Source organism: Homo sapiens, chromosome 2 (assembly GCF_000001405.40).
Source record: "Homo sapiens chromosome 2, GRCh38.p14 Primary Assembly".
Classification (NCBI taxonomy): domain Eukaryota; kingdom Metazoa; phylum Chordata; class Mammalia; order Primates; family Hominidae; genus Homo; species Homo sapiens.
In genome coordinates, this window is record NC_000002.12 from 96,643,437 (window position 1) to 96,660,437 (window position 17,001).

At 48.2% G+C, this 17,001-nt stretch overlaps 1 protein-coding gene across 17 annotated transcripts in view; it reads left to right on the forward strand.

Moving 5' to 3' along the window:
• FER1L5 (fer-1 like family member 5) overlaps window positions 1-17,001 on the forward strand; it is a 62,120-nt gene that overhangs the window by 673 nt on the left and 44,446 nt on the right. For 15 of the 17 annotated variants that reach the window (XM_011512110.3, XM_011512122.3, NM_001293083.2 and 12 more), the window contains exons 2-10: window positions 2,965-3,017; window positions 3,628-3,719; window positions 4,342-4,450; window positions 6,187-6,241; window positions 6,744-6,853; window positions 8,456-8,584; window positions 10,204-10,266; window positions 11,010-11,060; window positions 16,905-16,935. In XM_011512110.3, coding sequence (XP_011510412.1) covers window positions 2,965-3,017; window positions 3,628-3,719; window positions 4,342-4,450; window positions 6,187-6,241; window positions 6,744-6,853; window positions 8,456-8,584; window positions 10,204-10,266; window positions 11,010-11,060; window positions 16,905-16,935 — 693 coding nt within the window. The remainder of the gene's footprint in view (window positions 1-2,964; window positions 3,018-3,627; window positions 3,720-4,341; window positions 4,451-6,186; window positions 6,242-6,743; window positions 6,854-8,455; window positions 8,585-10,203; window positions 10,267-11,009; window positions 11,061-16,904; window positions 16,936-17,001) is intronic. The other 2 variants (XM_011512118.3, XM_011512120.3) reach the window with 2 other exon arrangements.

The following is a 17,001-nucleotide window of genomic DNA, read 5'->3' on the forward strand; positions in this document are numbered from 1 at the left end:
CCTCCCAGGTTCAAGCAATTCTCCTGCCTCACCCTCCGAAGTAGCTGGGACTACAGGCACATGCCACCACACCCAGCTGATTTTTGTCATTTTAATAGAGACGGGGTTTCACCATATTGGTCAGGCTGGTCTTGAACTCCTGACCTCAGGGGACCCACCTGCCTCGGCCTCCCAGAGTGCTGGGATTACAGGCGTGAGCCACCGCGCCCAGCCTACAAAGCCTTTTCATATGTACAATGATGTCTGCTCCTCACAGCAATTCCAGAGGTAAATGAAGCAAGTTTTATTATCTCCATTTTTTTTTTTTTTTTAGGTAAGAGAAAAGAATCCCAAGAAGGAAGGGAAAGAAAGGGGAGAAAGAATTTGTGAGAGAAAATGAGAGATGTTAGGTATATTTAGATATCAAAGATCTGGCAGCTAAAAGGAAAGAAGTAAAAGAAAAAAGGGTGAAAGGGCGGGGCACGGTGGCTCACACCTGTAATCCCAGCACTTTGGGAGGCTGAGGCAGGCAGATCACTGGAGGTCAGGAGTTCAAGACCAGCCTGGCCAACACGGTGAAACCCTATCTTTATTAAAAATATAAAAATTAGCCAGGCATGGTGGCAGGTGCCTGTAATCCCAGCTACTTGGGAGGCTGAGGCAGGAGAATCGCTTGAACCTGGGAGGCGGAGGTTGCAGTGAGCGGAGATCGTACCACAGCACTCCAGTCTGGTCAACAGATCGAGATGAGGTGCCTTCAAAAAAAAAAAAAAAAGAAAGAGGCTGGGCATGGTGGCTCACACCTGTAATCCCAGCGCTTTGGGAGGCCGAGGTGGGCGGATCACGAGGTCAGGAGATAGAGACCATCCTGGCTAACACGGTGAAACCCCGTCTCTACTAAAAATACAAAAAAAAAAAATTAGCTAGGCACCATGGTGGGTATTTGTAGTCCCAGCTACTTGGGAGGCTGTCAGGAGAATGGCGTGAACCCGGGAGACGGAGGTTGCAATGAGCCAAGATAGCGCCACTGCACTCTGGCCTGGGCGAAAAAGCAAGAGTCTGTCAGAAAGAAAGAAAGAGAGAAAGAGAGAGAGAGAGAGAAGTGTAGAGAAAAGAGAAAAAAAGGTGAAAGTATGTAGGTGGAGATACAGGACGGTGGATACAGGCAAATAGGTTTTACAGGGACCGTCAGCAGGGAGAAAACCGGGCCCAAGAGAAAAGAGGACACAGTAGTTCCTACAGGACATATGAGTAATGAATGGAATTTCTTTATTTTATGCTGTTGTTCTGTGAAACTATGCTTGTTGAACACAGCAATATTCAGAGATTGAACATTTGGGACTCCAGGCTCACAGGGTGATGCATGCTGATGTCCTCAGTCTGCAGGTTTCAAGAGGGGCGGTGGGAGTTCAGGATGTATTTGCCCTGATTGACTAATTTTCCAGTTAGCCAGGCAAGGGCCTGGCAGTTCTTCTCTGATTCTGAGCCATCTTCCCCACCACCTCATGGGCACCATCTTTCTCATTCCAGAAATATCTCCCACAAAGATGCCTAAAACTCAGAACCCTGTTTGAATACAAACAGATTCTTCTGATTGTATGTTTATGTTTGACACTTTGTATTCCTTTTGTCCTTCCCAGCCTCTTCCTTCATATGCCATCCACTAACCTGCACCCCTTCCCACTGCTTGGAGGGCCTTTTACCCATTATGGATGTTTCAGGATGTCTTCGTTAGGGTACACTGGGCTTTGCTCCGGCAATAAATAAACCCTTAATTTTCAGTGGGTTAACAATAAAAGTTTACCTCTTGCTTACACAAGTCCTGCATGGATGGTGCTGGTCACACAGCTCTCCTGGGTAGCTCCTACAAATGGTAGTTTAGGGACTAGCCGCTTGCCCCTTGTGGCTGCAAAGTTAGCAGGTCACAAGGGTGGCTATGGGGAGAGGAGAGAGGAGAATGAAGAATCTCATGGAAATTAAGAACCAGACCTGGCAGTGGCAAATATCATACCCATATCCCATTGGCCAGAGTGAGTCACACAGCCCCGCTTAGCTGCAAGACACTGAAAACTCTGGAAGAAAATGAAATGGGCCGAGCGCGGTGGCTTTAGCCTGTAATCCCAACAATTTGGGAGGCCGAGGCAGGCAGATCACTTGAGTCTGGGAGTTTGAGACCAGCCTGGGTGACATGGTAAAACCCTGTCTCTACAAAAAATACAAAAATTAGCCAGGTATGGTGGCCTGTAGTCCAAGCTACGTGGGAGGTGGGAGGATGACTTGAGCCTGGGAGACAGAGGTTGCATTGAGCCCACATCATGCCACTGTACTCCAGCCTGGGTGATAGAGTGAGACCTTGTGTCACACACACTCACACACACACACACAAAAGAAAAGTAAAGAAAAAATAAAAAGAGAAACAAAGAAAGAAAATGAAATGAACATAGAGCATTATCTGTCACACAGTGATAAAATCAAGAAATGTTGAACCCACACAAGAAAAAAAGAAGTGATGCCATATCACACCTGCCACCTGCCTTGACTTGAAGGCAGTGCCTGCCACTTGCCTTGACTTGAAGTTTTCTTTTTTTTTTTTTTTTTTTTGTGACAGAGTCTTGCTCTGTCACCCAGGCTGGAGTGCAGTGGCGGGATCTCAGCTCACTGCAAGCTCTGCCTCCTGGGTTCACACCCTTCTCCTGCCTCAGCCTCCCAAGTAGCTGGGACTACAGGCGCCCGCCACCACGCCCGGCTAATTTTTTGTATTTTTAGTAGAGATGGGGTTTCACCGTGTCAGCCAGGATGGTCCTGATCTCCTGACCTCGTGATCTGCCTGCCTCGGCCTCCCAAAGTGCTGAGATTACAGGCGTTAGCCACCATGCCCGGCCGACTTGAAGTTTTCTTAGAGTGTCCTACTTCTCTTTACCCCACTCCAACCCAGACGTTGAAATATTTCCTACCATCAATGCCAGCCTCTTGGTTTCTTTGCAGATATCAAGAAAAGAACTCGTGTGGTGGAAGGGAATGATCCCGTGTGGAATGAGGTAGACAACAGGGCAAGCCCAGAAGAGGAAATAACAACCCCAACAGCAAGGGGGCAAGGGTGGGGTCCAGGAAGGTGCTCAGAGGTCTAGGGAGAGGACGTGCAACCTCACAGGCTTTCCTCAAGGCTGGGCATCTTGGCCTGGGAGTAGCAGCCTCTGACCCGACAAGGCTGTGAAGGCCACACCTGCCCACGACTGTTCGTGGCCCTTCTCCCCCACTCCGAGGATGGACCATGGTATGGCCTATCAACCATCCAGCTGGGCCATCTTGATGTTCCTAGAAGCCTGAAGCAGAGTGAAGGCTCCCTGTGCATGACTCCCTCTCATCTGCCATCACTCCATGCTGCCCCTCACCCCATTCCTAGTCCCCAAACCCTTAATTCCCAACAGGCCAATGATACTGCAGTTCAAGTCACAGAAGCCGAGTGGGATGCCCACACCTTGGTGAAAGGTAGCAAACGCCATCTCCTGAGGAAATTAGACATGAGGGAGGTTCCTCAGTCTTAGAGAAATGCAGTGCCAGCCCGTTCCCCACGTCTTTCCTCATTTCCTAGAAACATGGGATGGGAAGGGCAGAGGGAGGATGCTGACCTCTCTATGCCCCCCACAGACCCTAATCTGGCACCTCTGGAACCGCCCCCTGGAAAATGACTCCTTCCTGCAAGTCACCCTTCAGGACATGGGCTCACAAAAGAAAGAAAGGTGAGGCAGAGAGAGGCAGGAGGAGCCTAGCTCCTGACCAACGCAGCAGCAAGTTATGTGATCCTTGTCTCTAATCCATAACTCACTCAGATGAAGGAATGGAACCCACTCCAGCCAGCTAAAAAGAAAAAAGAGGGGTGGGTACTGAAAGGGTAGCCAGGGCAAGACTGCAAATCAGCTGGGACAGGAACTTGGGAACCCAGCAGCAGCTCTGTCCATCTGAAGCCACGTATCTCAAATTTCTGCTTCTCTCTGCCCAACCCCGGCTTCTTATCACAGCCTCATCTAGTGCCCAGCTGAGACTCACATGCCCTGAGACTGAGGCTATGCCATCCCAGGTCAAAATTCCTAAGACAGAGAATCCTATTGGCCCAGCTCTAGCCAGGTGTCCATCCCTGGTCCAATCAACTGTTACTTGCCTCGGAGCCCCAAGACAGTTCTCAGAGCCAGAAGCCCTGTGCCCTGTCATGGATACCCAGCCCCACTGCATTCTTCTCCAGCCTCTCTCTGAGGACAGCACAGCCCTGGGAGGAAACCGTCTCTAGCTAAAGCCCTGCCCGGGAGAGAAGAGGACACTCTTTCCCCTGGCTCAGGATCTCACATCTGCTCCTTGTCTCCCCAGATTCATTGGCCTGGCCACAGTACTGCTCAAGCCATTGTTGAAACAACCAAGTGAGGTCCTTTTTGTGAAGGACTTGACCCTGCTCAACCATTCCATGAAGCCCACAGATGTGAGTCAGGCCCAGGAAGGCCCAGGCAGGGTGGCTGGAGGAATGAGGGGAGCTGGTGAAGCGGCCCACACCACAAGAGTGCTTCCTGCTTGGGGGGCCCCATCACACTGCCTTCCTCTCCTGACCACCTCCCTTGCCATCATCTGCGCCCCCCTCCCCAACGCATCTATTTAGATGAATTGACCGCCTTGCATTGGGAGTCAACCACTGTGCCAGGCCCTGTGGTACAAAATTGCCTTAAGCCCATGGTCTGTTGGAGTAGGCTCCACTCACAGTGACAGGCGCTCCAGCACCCGTGAGACAAGGTTCAGTAAAGCAAGGCCACTGGCTCAGGTCAGGAGGGAGTGAACAATTTGTCTCAGGAGGTCATGGACAGATTTACAGAGGGGGTGATGTTTAAGACATTGGAAATGTAGGGAGACCATCCAAATGAGAACAAGCAAAGGCTATTTTTTCAGAGCTTGTGCTAGCAAGGGACTCGGTCATCGTCATTTGTGTTTTGGCAGAGACTCAGAGGCAGCCAGGGGAGCGGGAGAGCTTCACAGTGGAAAGAAGGGAAGGCTGCAGATGTGCCCTGATTGGAGGCTACGGGGGAGCCCAAGGCGGGCCTCCCATGTGATTGGTTAGAGGGGCATGTTTGGCTCTCTCTGGTTGGTCCTAAGTTGGAAGTGGGGACAAAAATTAAGGCAGCTGCCAGTTATTAATCAAGGCCTGGCCATTTGGAGCTGATTGTTATTGTTTGGCTTCCTGGATTATTGCTAGAGACAGCAGTCTGACCTCCTACAAGTCTGACTTAGAGCAGGCTGGCTTCCTGGGCTGGTTACTGTAGATAACAGGTTGGTTCCCTGGGCTGGTTGCTGCAGATGGTGGATCTGAGTCTTATTTTCTATGTGGTTTGGCCATTGTCCATTTGTATGCAGACAGTCTGTGACTTACAATGGATGGACACACAATATTGTTGACTTACAATGCGTTTATCGGGATGTGATCCCATCATAAAGTCAAGGCACATTCAGTCTGTCAGTTGAGTTGTAAGAAGAGGCTTGAGTTTTCCCAATGGACAGGAGTGGAAGACCAGCCCAGGCAGGGGCATAAAGTGGGTGGAGCAGGAGGCAGGGTGAGGGAGGGTGTACTGCACTTTTGTCACACGGTGGGGGGGTGGGGTGGAGGTGGGAGAGCTTAGGTTGCATAAGTGACCAAGGGCTAGAGGTCAAGGGCCTTGTGGTCCACGCTGGTGAATTGTGACTTAACTTTGATCATTTAGACACTTGGGGTGTTCAGGGGGCCATCCTGGTGATGGTCTGGAGGCTGGGATGGTAATGGGAGCATATGAAGGAAGGAGCTCAGTTAGAAGGGAGGAGTGTGCAGGGCCTCCCACATGAGTTCATGAGATGTTGGGCTAGGGGAAGAGCTGCTAGCATCTGTGTTCTGGGCTCAAGTCACCTCTCCCTCTCCTCCCCACCCTCCTGCATCCTTTTCTGCCACCATCACCACCATGTGGCTGCTTTAATCTACAAACATCCCCTCCACTGTAACCCATTGCTCTCTCCTCACCCATTTATAACCTCCCTCACCCAGACTGTGCAGATGCCCATGGTGTGGCCCCATCCCATGACTAGCATCACGGCCCCCACCAGGAGGACCAGGTGTGAACCCAACCAGGCTGTGCAGGGCTTGGGTGCTGTGTCCAAGGATGGCAGGGTCTGGCTTACAGCTCCCTTGCCTTTGTCTTGCAGTGTACTGTCACCCTACAGGTGGCCCACATGAGCAACCAGGATATTGAGAAGACAGGTATGTCCTTCCCTGGAGCTTACCCTTAAGGGCCTACCCTGCCTTTCTGCATGCACAGCTGGATGGGTTCTTGGGGACCTTCAAAACCCAGCCCTTGAGGCCTACAGAAGGAATGTGACCAGGCTAGGGTCCCTGGAAGCTACAGGGTCTAGATGCCAGATCTCCAGACATCTGGCTGAGGCCATCCCAATATGCCTATTTGTCATCTCTAGACATAAGACCCATGAGATATAAGACATAAGTCTCCAAGGGGCTGCAGAGAGACAAGGATGGTCATCTCCAAGAGCCCCAGTGTGTGGAGCAGGGTCCAGGGATCCATAGTTCCTGAGCATGAAGGGGCCCATGGTAATGTTCTGGGGAGGACATATGTCACTGTTGGGGCCTCTTGGCCATGCTTTTAGTCAGGAGATGGTCACTGGGGACAGAATGATGGAATGGGGAAAATACCTCAAACCTCCTGGGCCCCAGGCCTCTGACCCCACCCTGCACTGTGTCTCCCCAGGAGCTGAAGACCACCTGGGCATAACGGCAAGAGAGGCAGCCAGTCAGAAACTGATGGTCCCTGGCTCCACTGCGCACAGGGCTCTGTCCTCAAAGCCTCAGCACTTTCAGGTGAGGACCTTCCAGGTTGCAAGTTCATGGGACTCACCTGACACTCTTGTTTGCTGTGTTCCCAGGCCACCTCACCCCTCCCCAAGGTCATGGTAGAAGGGCAGAGCTTCAGACCCAGCTTCTGGCCCTCAGATCCTTGCCACATGCCCTGCTCCTCCCATGGCCGTTCTGGAAACTTCTGCCTGTAGCTGAAGCCACAGAGCTCCAGTGAGGTAGTAGGAGAGCCAGCTGTGCACTGGCAGGCCCTGGTACCTGCTGGGGAAGCAGCGCAGATGAGAGAGATCCTGCCCTCTCAGAGTCCTCAGGTTGTTGGCAAAACAAAGTGGGGCACAGGCAAAGTTAAATTAACTGTACAGGAGAGGCTGGGGAGTGTCTGATCTGAGGGGACCTATGGAAAGGTCCACATTTCCATGTGAATTCAGGAACCCTCATCCCATGGCTTATCAACTTCCCTCTGGCTTCTAGCCCGTGGCCTAACATTCCTGCCGTGGTTTTACCTGCTCCCCAGCCTGCTCCTCGCGCAGCAGCTGGGAGTCTCCTGGACCACTCCTCTTCCTGCACCCAAGCAGTGGCCAAGTCCTAGCTCTTAACGTCACCCACTGCTCCCATTTCCCCCTCGCCACTTCTGTTCCCTGGCCTGAGCCACCACCACCTCTTCCCTGGACCACATCAGAAGGCTTCTCCTGAACCCCCCAGCCTCCAGCTCTCTCCTGTCCATTCTCCAACCAAAGTGTCCTTTCAAAGATGTCACTCTTATCATGCCAAGCACCTTCTTCAAAAGCCCCAGTGTCTTCCACACAAGATCACAAGATCCAGTTCCTTTTGCAATGGCTTCCCGGGCCCTTGATAACTCAAGCCTGTGTCTCCAAGTCCATCTCCTCCTAGCCTTCTCCCAGTGGATTGTCTGTCTCCACTGTGGCTAGGGCTACAACTTTCTTTCTTTCTTTCTCTTTCTTTCTTTCTTTCTTTCTTTCTTTCTTTCTTTCTTTCTTTCTTTCTTTCTTTCTTTCTTCTTTCCTTCCTTCCTTCTTTCTCTCTTTCTTTCTTTCCTTCTTTCTTTCTTTTTCTTTCTTTCCTTCCTTCCTTCTTTCCTTTCTTTTCCTTCCTCCCTCCCTTCTTTCTTTCTTTCTTTTCCTTCCTTCCTCCCTCCCTTCTTTCTTTCTTTCTTTTCCTTCCTCCGTCCCTCCCTCCCTCCCTTCTTTCTTTCTTTCTGTCTTTCTTCTCTTTTTTGAGATGGAGTCTTGCTCTGTTGCCCAGGCTGGAGTGCAGTGGCACGATCACAGCTCACTACAGTCTAGACCTCTGGGCTCAGGTGATCCTCCCACCTCAGCCTCCTGAGTAGCTGGGATTACAGGCATGCACCACCAAGCTCAGCTAATTTTTTTGTAATTTTTGTAGAGACGGGGTTTTGCCATGTTGCCCAGTCAATCTGGTCTCGAACTCCTGGGCTCAAGCGATTCTCCCACCTCGGCCTCCCAAAGTGCTGGGATTACAGGCATGAGCCACTCATTGCACCTGGCCTAGAATGTTTTCTTATCAGAACAATGTTGTCCCAGCTACAGAAGGCCCTCAATATCAGCTCCCCATGTGTTCCGCCCTTAGGTTCGAGTGAAGGTGTTTGAAGCCCGACAGCTCATGGGCAACAACATCAAACCAGTGGTGAAGGTGTCCATCGCAGGCCAGCAGCACCAGACACGCATCAAGATGGGAAACAACCCTTTCTTTAATGAGGTGGGCTGAACGGGGCACATCAGGCAAGGAGCCAGCCAAGGGCTGGGCATCCCCGGTGGGCAGCCGGCAAGCTTGCTCCTTGACTAGGGTGTCTTCATGTGTTTGTTCCACAAGCATTTACTGAGTGTCTACTGAGGGCCAAGCACTGAAAATACAGAACAGTATAACTCAGAGCCCTGTATCTGAGGAGCTGGTGGGCTGGTGGGGGCACAACTCATGAATCCGTAAACAATTACAACAGAGCAGATCCTGGTTTACAGAGGTCTGGGAGTATTGCTATTGGAGGTTCGAAGCACAGACCCAGACCATGTATGTCTCATTGCTGCTGGAGCCCCAAATTGTAGCACTGTGCCTGATACACAGTAGGTGCTCCATAAATACTTGTTGAATTAATTAGTAAATGAACAAATAAAAGATAAAAGCACAGTGGAAGCTGGAAGGAGTAAGTGAGTAATGAGGCTGGGGGTGGCGGAGAGGACTCAGAAGGGCTCCAGCAACCCTGAAGGAAGATTTTACCAGGGAAAGACAGACAGGATGGGAAAAGATAATTCAGGAAAAAGTCATGGTGTTTTCAAAGGCCTGGAACCAAGCAAGCCGCAGACTTGACAGCAGAACTATAGCTATGGGTGTGGCTGGAGGAGACTGGCTGGAGGGGAGCCTACAGTGTGGGCTGGGGTCCCATCCTGGACACTACTCAGGAGCCATGGAGGACTTAAGCAGAGGAGTGACAGGCCTAGGTTTGCATTTGGGAAAGAAGTTTCTGGCTGCCACGGGGAGCAGGGACAGAGTGGACTGGCAGGGCAACCTAGAAGGAGGTGTGGGCTCAAATCTCCATCCTGGGCAGCTAGCTGGGCCCTGAGTTCTCCAGGAATCTCCTACCATTCCCCATTCTGGGCAGAAAACCCTCCAGGAGGCTGGGCTTGGTGGCTCATGCCTGTAATTCCAGAACTTTGGGAGACCGTGGTGAGTGGATCACCTGAGGTCCGGAGTTCGAAACCATCCTGACCAATATGGTGAAACCCTGTCTCTTTTGTAAAAATACAAAAATTAGCCACATGCAGTGGCAGGTGCCTGTAATCCCATCTACTCAGGAGGCTGAGGCAGGAGAATCGTTTGAACCCGAGGTTGCAGTGAGTTGAGATTGCACCACCACACTCCAGCCTAGGTGACAGAGCGAGACTCCGCCTAAAAATAGGAAACCCTCTAGGAGCCCGGGAGGCCTCTGCTTCTGGGGGAGCATGAGAGAAGTGGCACAAGTTGAGTATCCCTTACCCAAAATGCATGGTATCAGAAGTGTTTTGGATTTCAGATTTTTTTTGGGAATCTGGAATATTTGCATTGTACCAGTTCAGCATTCGTAATAATGAAAATCTGAAACCCAGAATGCTCCAGTGAGCATTTCCTTTGAGGGTCATGTTGGCACTCAGAAAGTTTCAGATTTTGGAGCATTTTTTATTTCAGATTTTTGGATTAGGAATACTCAGCCTGTACTTGTAAACCCATTGAAATGGGTAAAGTTGTGGAAAGAAGCACATTATTCTGAGCTTTCAGGTTTACTGAGTGCTTGGGTGAAGTGGCGGAAGAAATCATCCACTCTACCCCAATTCTCTTTGCCTCAGATCTTCTTCCAGAATTTTCATGAGGTTCCTGCAAAGTTCTTTGATGAGACCATCTTAATCCAGGTGAGGAGCCAAACTGGTCCCCAGCAAGGTGGGTTTCTTGTCCCACTTCAATACTGGGAAGCACTACAGCTCCAGCCCCCACCCTTAGAGCCAGGGGCACTTCAGATTGTCTTCCTGATCCCCACCACTTTCTTCACCCCCTGGCACCCAGATTATTCATTCATTTACTCATTTATTCAACAAATGTTGTGGATTGCCAACTGCCAGGCCCTGAACTGGGCGCCAAGGTGAACAAGGCAGCCCCTTCCCATGTGCCAGGATTTTCAAGCCACCAAAGGCCCCTCCAAGTAGAATACTCCATTCCCTAACCAAAGGGAGCCAGTAACAATGTGGAACATGTGGTTATCAGGTGCCTACTATGTGCCCAGCACAGGGCTAAGGAGAACAAAGAGGCCTCTTCCTTTGAAGAATTTACTGTTCTTGGGAACAAAGGCACAGAGGAAACAACCAGGAGAGCATGTAATGGATAACGTTGAGTGCAACACCTTGCTTTGTGTTGACTTGGGGCAAGGAAATTGACCTCTCTGATCAATTTCCTCATCAGTAAAATGGAATTAAAAATCTGAACCTCACAGGGTTCCTCTGAGAGTGAAATGAGAACACCCATGTGCAAGTGTCTGCCCCATTAGGAAGCATTCAATACGTCAGGAGGATCCTGGTTGTGCCTTTGCTATACCTCTTACAGGGGCTGAGGGAAATTGGGATTGTGAATAATTAAAATATTTCTGGGAACTCCCTTGCAGGTGGTGAACTCCTCAGCAATGAGATACAAAGCAGAGATCGGGAGATTTCAAGTGAGTACTGTACATGGGAGGAGGTTCAGTGAAACAGTTATTAAAACAGAGACCCATGCTGGGCTCCATGCCCAAGTCTAGGGAAAAGGACTTGGATTTTCACACAGAAAGATCCAGACTTGGCCGGGTGCAGTGGCTCGCACCTGTAATCCCAGCACTTTGGGAGGCCGAGGCCGGTGGATCACGAGGTCAGGAGATCGAGACCATCGTGGCTAACACAGTGAAACCCTGTCTCTACTAGAAATACAAAAAATTAGCGGGGTGAGGTGGCGGGTGCCTGTAGTCCCAGCTACTCAGGAGGCTGAGGCAGGAGAATTGCTTGAACCCAGGAGGCGGAGCTTGCAGTGAGCCGAGACCGCACCACTGCACTCCAGCCTGGGCGACAGGGTGAGACTCCATCTCAAAAAAAAAAAAAAAAAAAAGAAGAAGAAAGATCCAGGCTTGTATCCACCTACCAACTGGGTGACTTAAACAAGTTATTCTGAACCTCTACTTCCTCATCTTTAAAAGGGAGATGATAATATACTCGATCTGGGGGGTGATTGTGAGGATTAAAGTATATATAACGTTTATGAAAGCTCAGGGCGCCATGTTGAATTCCACACTCCCATGATACTGTGGACACAGTTCAAATCTCTGCCTCCAGGAAGTAGAAGCAGAGGATCCAAAAGGTCAGCCTACATGTTAGGGAAACTCAGAGAAATATTGCTGCCTGTGAGGACAGAGTGAAAAGATGTGATTTGGGAAGACAGGCTGAGAGATTAGGAGAGTTTACAGTCATGATGGGCTAAACTAAGATTCTCCAAATCCAAAAAGATCAGGAAAAGGTAGGTTGCTAGGTTAAATACAGGATGCCTGGTTACATTTAATCTTAGATAAACAAAAAATACATTTTAAATATAAGTATGTCCCAAATATTACATGGCTTCTCACCAAATATTGCAGGGGACGTATGTGTATTAAGAAAGTAGTCATTGTTCATCTGAAATTTTAATTTAAGTGGGCATCTTCTGTTTTTGTTTACTAAATCTACAATGTTAGGAAACGGGCACCACCCTTGGAAAAAAACATAGAGAGACAGAGATTCTAGAAATGTTAGATGGTAGGAGGTGAAAAATGTTGTGCTCTTGACAAAGGCCACCGCATGATTTCTAGACAGTGACCAATGACATAAGCTAAGTTATAGAGGTCAGAGAAAACCTGAGTTTAACCAAGCTTCTTCTTTTTTTTTGAGACGTGATCTTGCTTTGTCACCCAGGCTGGATTGCAGTGGTGCAATCCCGGCTCACTGCAGCCTTGAACTCCTGGGCTCAAGCAATCCTCCCACCTCAGCCTCCCGAGTAGCTTGGACTACAGGTGTGCACCACTGCACCTGGCTAATTTTTAAAAATTTTTTGTAGCGAATGGGTCTCACTATGTTACCCAGGCTAGTCTAGAACTCCTGGGCTTAAGCCGTCCTCCCACCTCAGCCTTCCAAAGTGCTGGGATTACAGGCGTGTGTCCACCACACCCAGCCGAGCTTATTTTTTTATTTCTTTTTATTTTGGTATCATGAACTCCCATATCCTCATCACTCATCTTCATCAATTCACAGTCAATTGTGTTTTACCTACACCTAGCCCCCTTCGCCTTCACCGCTGGATTATTTTGAATCAAATCTCAAGCATCACATCATTTTATCTTTCTACATTTCAGTATGTATTGCAAAAACATAAGGATTTTATTAAGCATAGCCACATACAATTATCACATCTAAAAACTTTTATAATTCCTAGGTAGCATTAAATACCTAGTCAATGTTCAAATTCCCCTAATTGTTTTACATATTTCTTTTACAGTTTTTCAAATAAGGATTCCAGGCTGGGAACGGTGGCTCACGCCTGTAATCCCAGCACTTTGGGAGGTCAAGGCAGGCGGATCACCTGAAGTCAGGAGTTCAAGACCAGTCTGGCCAACATGGCCATCTCTACTAAAAATACAGAAATTAGCTGGGTGTGGTGGCACATGCCTGTAATCCCAGCTACTCATGAGGCTGAGGCAGGTGAATCATTTGAACCCAGATGGTAGAGGTTGCAGTGAGCCAAGATTTTGCCACTGCACTCCAGTCTGAGCAAAAGAGAGAGACTCTGTCTCAAAAAAACAAAAACAAAAAACAAATCAGGATTCTAAACCAGGTCCACTCATTGCAAGTGGTTAATATGCATTTTAGTTTCCTTTTATTCTGTTGGTCCTCTCTGCTCCCCCACTTCCTCTTTTTTTTTTTTTTTTAATTTGCAACTTATTTGTTAAGGAAACTGGGTAGTTGGACCTGTAGTGTTTTCTCTGGTCTGGGTTTTGCTGATTTCATCTTCAGGGAATCATTTTGCATTCCCCCACCCCATTTCCCTATCTAGAGTTTAGATTAGTCTGAACCAATTTGTTGGCAAAGTGACTTTAGCAGAAGGCACAGAATGTCTGCTGGTCTCTCATTTTATGTTGTTAACAGCTAATGATGATCATTGCCTGGATCTGTTGCTTCATTGGGAGTGACTGAATTTCTATTCTGTTTTTTTATTTTTATTTTTTAATTTATATATATATATATATAGTTTTTTTTGAGACAGAGTCTTGCTCTGTCACCCAGGCTTGAATGCTGTGGCACGATCTTGGCTCATGCATCCTCTGCCTCCCAGGTTCAAGCAATTCTCATGCCTAAGCCCCCCAGGATAGCTGGAACCACAGGCACGTGCCACCATGCCCAGCGAATTTTTGTATTTTTAGTGGAGATGGGGTTTCACCATGTCGGCCAGGCTGGTCTCAAACTCCTGGCTTCAAGTGATCCGCCCGCCTCAGCCTCCCAAAGTGCTGGGATTACAGGCATGAGCCACCATGCCTTGCCCTGTTTTTTTTATGTTATGGTTTTATTGAGGTGTCATTGACATACAATTAATGGTACATATTTAAAATGTACAATTTGATATATTAAAAATATGTGCACACCCAGAAGAAAACATCATCACAATTAAGATAATGAATATACTCATCACATCTGTCACCTCCAAAAGTTGTCTGATGGACCTTGGGAATCACTCCGTCTCATTCCCATCCCACCCCCTCCATCCGCAGACAACCACTGATCTGCTTTCTGTTATTATATGAACATTTCTTTCCTAGAGTTCTTATTAATAGATAAGTATTTCCTAGAGTTCATATCAATAGAATCATACATTCTCTATCCTTTTGTGTCTGCTTTCTTTCCCTCAGCATTGCTGTTCTGAGATTCATCCATGTTGTTGCACTTGTCAGCAGTTCATTCCTTTTTATTGCTGAGTAATAGTCCAGCATATGGATGTACTATAGTTTAATTATCCATTCCCTTGTTAATGGACATTTAGATTGCTTCCAGTCTGAGGCTGCTATATTGGGGCCGTGTAAACATTTGTGTACAAATCTGAGTGTGGAAGTTTTAATTTCTCTTGGGAAAATATGTAGAAGCAGAATGACTAAATCATATGGTAGGTATATGTGGTATATGTTTAACTTTCTTTTTTTTTTTTTTGAGATGGAGTCTTGCCCTGTTGCCCAGGCTGGAGTGCAATGGCGTGATCTCGGCTCACTGCAACCTCCCCCTCCTGGGTTCACATGATTTTCCTGCCTCAGACTCCCGAGTAGCTGGGATTACAGGCACCTGCTACTACGTGTGGGCTAATTTTCGTATTTTTAGTAGAGACAGGTTTTCACCATGTTGGCCAGGCTGGTCTTGAACTCCTGACCTTGTGAGCGGCCCACCTTGGCCTCCCAAAGTGCTGGGATTACATGCGTGAGCCAACGCACCTGGCCAACTTTTTTTTTTTTTTTTGAGACAGAGTCTTGCTCTGTCATCAAGGTTGGAGTGCAGTGGCGCGATCTCAGCTCACTGCAGCCTCTGCCTCCCGGGTTCAAGTGATTCTCCTGCCTCAGCCTCCCGAGTAGCTGGGATTACAGGTGCACGCCACCATGTCTGGCTAATTTTTGTATTAGCCCGCCTCGGCCTCCCAAAGTGCTGGGATTACAGGTGTGAGCCACTGCACCCGGACGTGTATGTTAAACTTTTTAAGGAAAATTTCTAAAAGTTTTTTTTCCAAAATTCCAAACAGGTTCTGCCACTGTACATGCCCACCAGTAGTGTATTAGAGTTTCAGTTGCCCCACATTCTCCACAATACTTGATCTAGTCCATCTTTTTTATTTTAGCCATTCTAATGGTGTGTAGTAATATTTCACTGTGATTGTAATTTAAACCTTCCTAACGACTAACGATGTTGAGCATCTTTTCATGTGCCTGTCATCTGTATATCTTCTTTGGTGAAGTGACTGTTCAAATCTTTAGTTTGTTTTCCTTGGATTGTTTGTTTTCTAACTATTGATATATGATTTGCAAATATTTTCTTCCAGAGGATGACAGCCCATTCATTTTCTGTTTTGTTTTTGTTTTTGTTTTTGTTTTTTTGGGACGGAGTCTCTCTCTGTCACCCAGGCTGGAGTGCAGTGGTGTGATCTCCGCTCACTGCAAGCTCCACCCCCTGGGTTCATGCCATTCTCCTGCCTCAGCCTCCTACAGGCGCCCACCACCACACCCGGCTAATATTTTTTGTATTTTCAGTAGAGACGGGATTTCACCGTGTTAGCCAGGATGGTCTCGATCTCCTGACCTCGTGATCCGCCTGCCTCAGCCTCCCAAAGTGCTGGGATTACAGGCGTGAGCCACTGTCATTTTCTTAACAGTGTCTTTCAAAAGCAGACTTTTTCATTTTGATGAAGTCCAATTTATCAAGCTTTCCTTCCTTCCTTCCTTCCTTCCTTCCTTCCTTCCTTCCTTCCTTCCTTCCTTCCTTCCTTCCTTCCTTCCTTCTTTCTTTCTTTCTTTCTTTCTTTCTTTCTTTCTTTCTTTCTTTCTTTCTTTCTTTCTTTCTTTCTTTCTTTCTTTCTTTCTTTCTTTCTTTCTTTCTTTCTTTCTTTCTTTCTTTCTTTCTTTCTTTCTTTCTTTCTTTCTTTCGAGACAGAGTCTCGCTCTGTCGCCCAGGCTGGAGAGCAGTGGCGCAATCTCGGCTCATTGCAAGTTCCGCCTCCCGGGTTCACACCATTCTCCTGCCTGAACCTCCCTAGTAGCTGAGACTACAGGGGCCCGCCACCACGCCCGGCTAATTTTTTGTATTTTTAGTAGAGACAAGGTTTCACTGCGTTAGCCAGGATGGTCTCGATCTCCTGACCTCTTGATCCGCCTGCCTCAGCCTCCCAAAGTGCTGGGATTACAGGCGTGAGCCACTGCGTCCGGCCAATCAAGCTTTTCTTTGATGGGTTGTGCTGTGTTGCTGTATCTAAGAACACATTATGGGTGGCCATAATGTTCTGTGGCAGCTTGCCCCACATATGTCACCTTCCATCCTGAACCACATTCCTCAAACCTCTGTGTCAGAAACTATCTCCAAGGGGAAAGAGAAAACCCGTAGTTTCTTTGTCAACTCCTACCTCTTACCTTAACCATCCTCTTCCCCAGGACCGGTGAGCCCTTCCCTGACCCAGGAGTAGGGTAGAGTTGGGCTGCTTTGGCCGAGAGGGTGGCACAGTGCAGTGTTGAGGAGCTTTTCCATGCAGGCTTTCTCACTGACTGGTTGTAAGACTTTGGGCACCTCTCTCAAACTCAGTATCTTCCTCTGCAGAGTAGAGGTAATAATGGGCCTACCTCTCAGGCTGCTGTAAAGATGAAAGGAGTTAGGGCAGAGAACATACTGAAGCCCCAACAGCTAGCAGTTGGGTCAGGTTAGTTGGTATTACAAATCTTGGCTGCAGGCCCTAACTAATCCTCACCCCACTGTTGTCTTTTCAGACAGATATTGGGTTTATCTACCATTCTCCAGGTAGGTAATACTTATGGCAAATATGTATGTCTTCTGAGAAAAATCAGGCCAAGGGTCAGAATATCT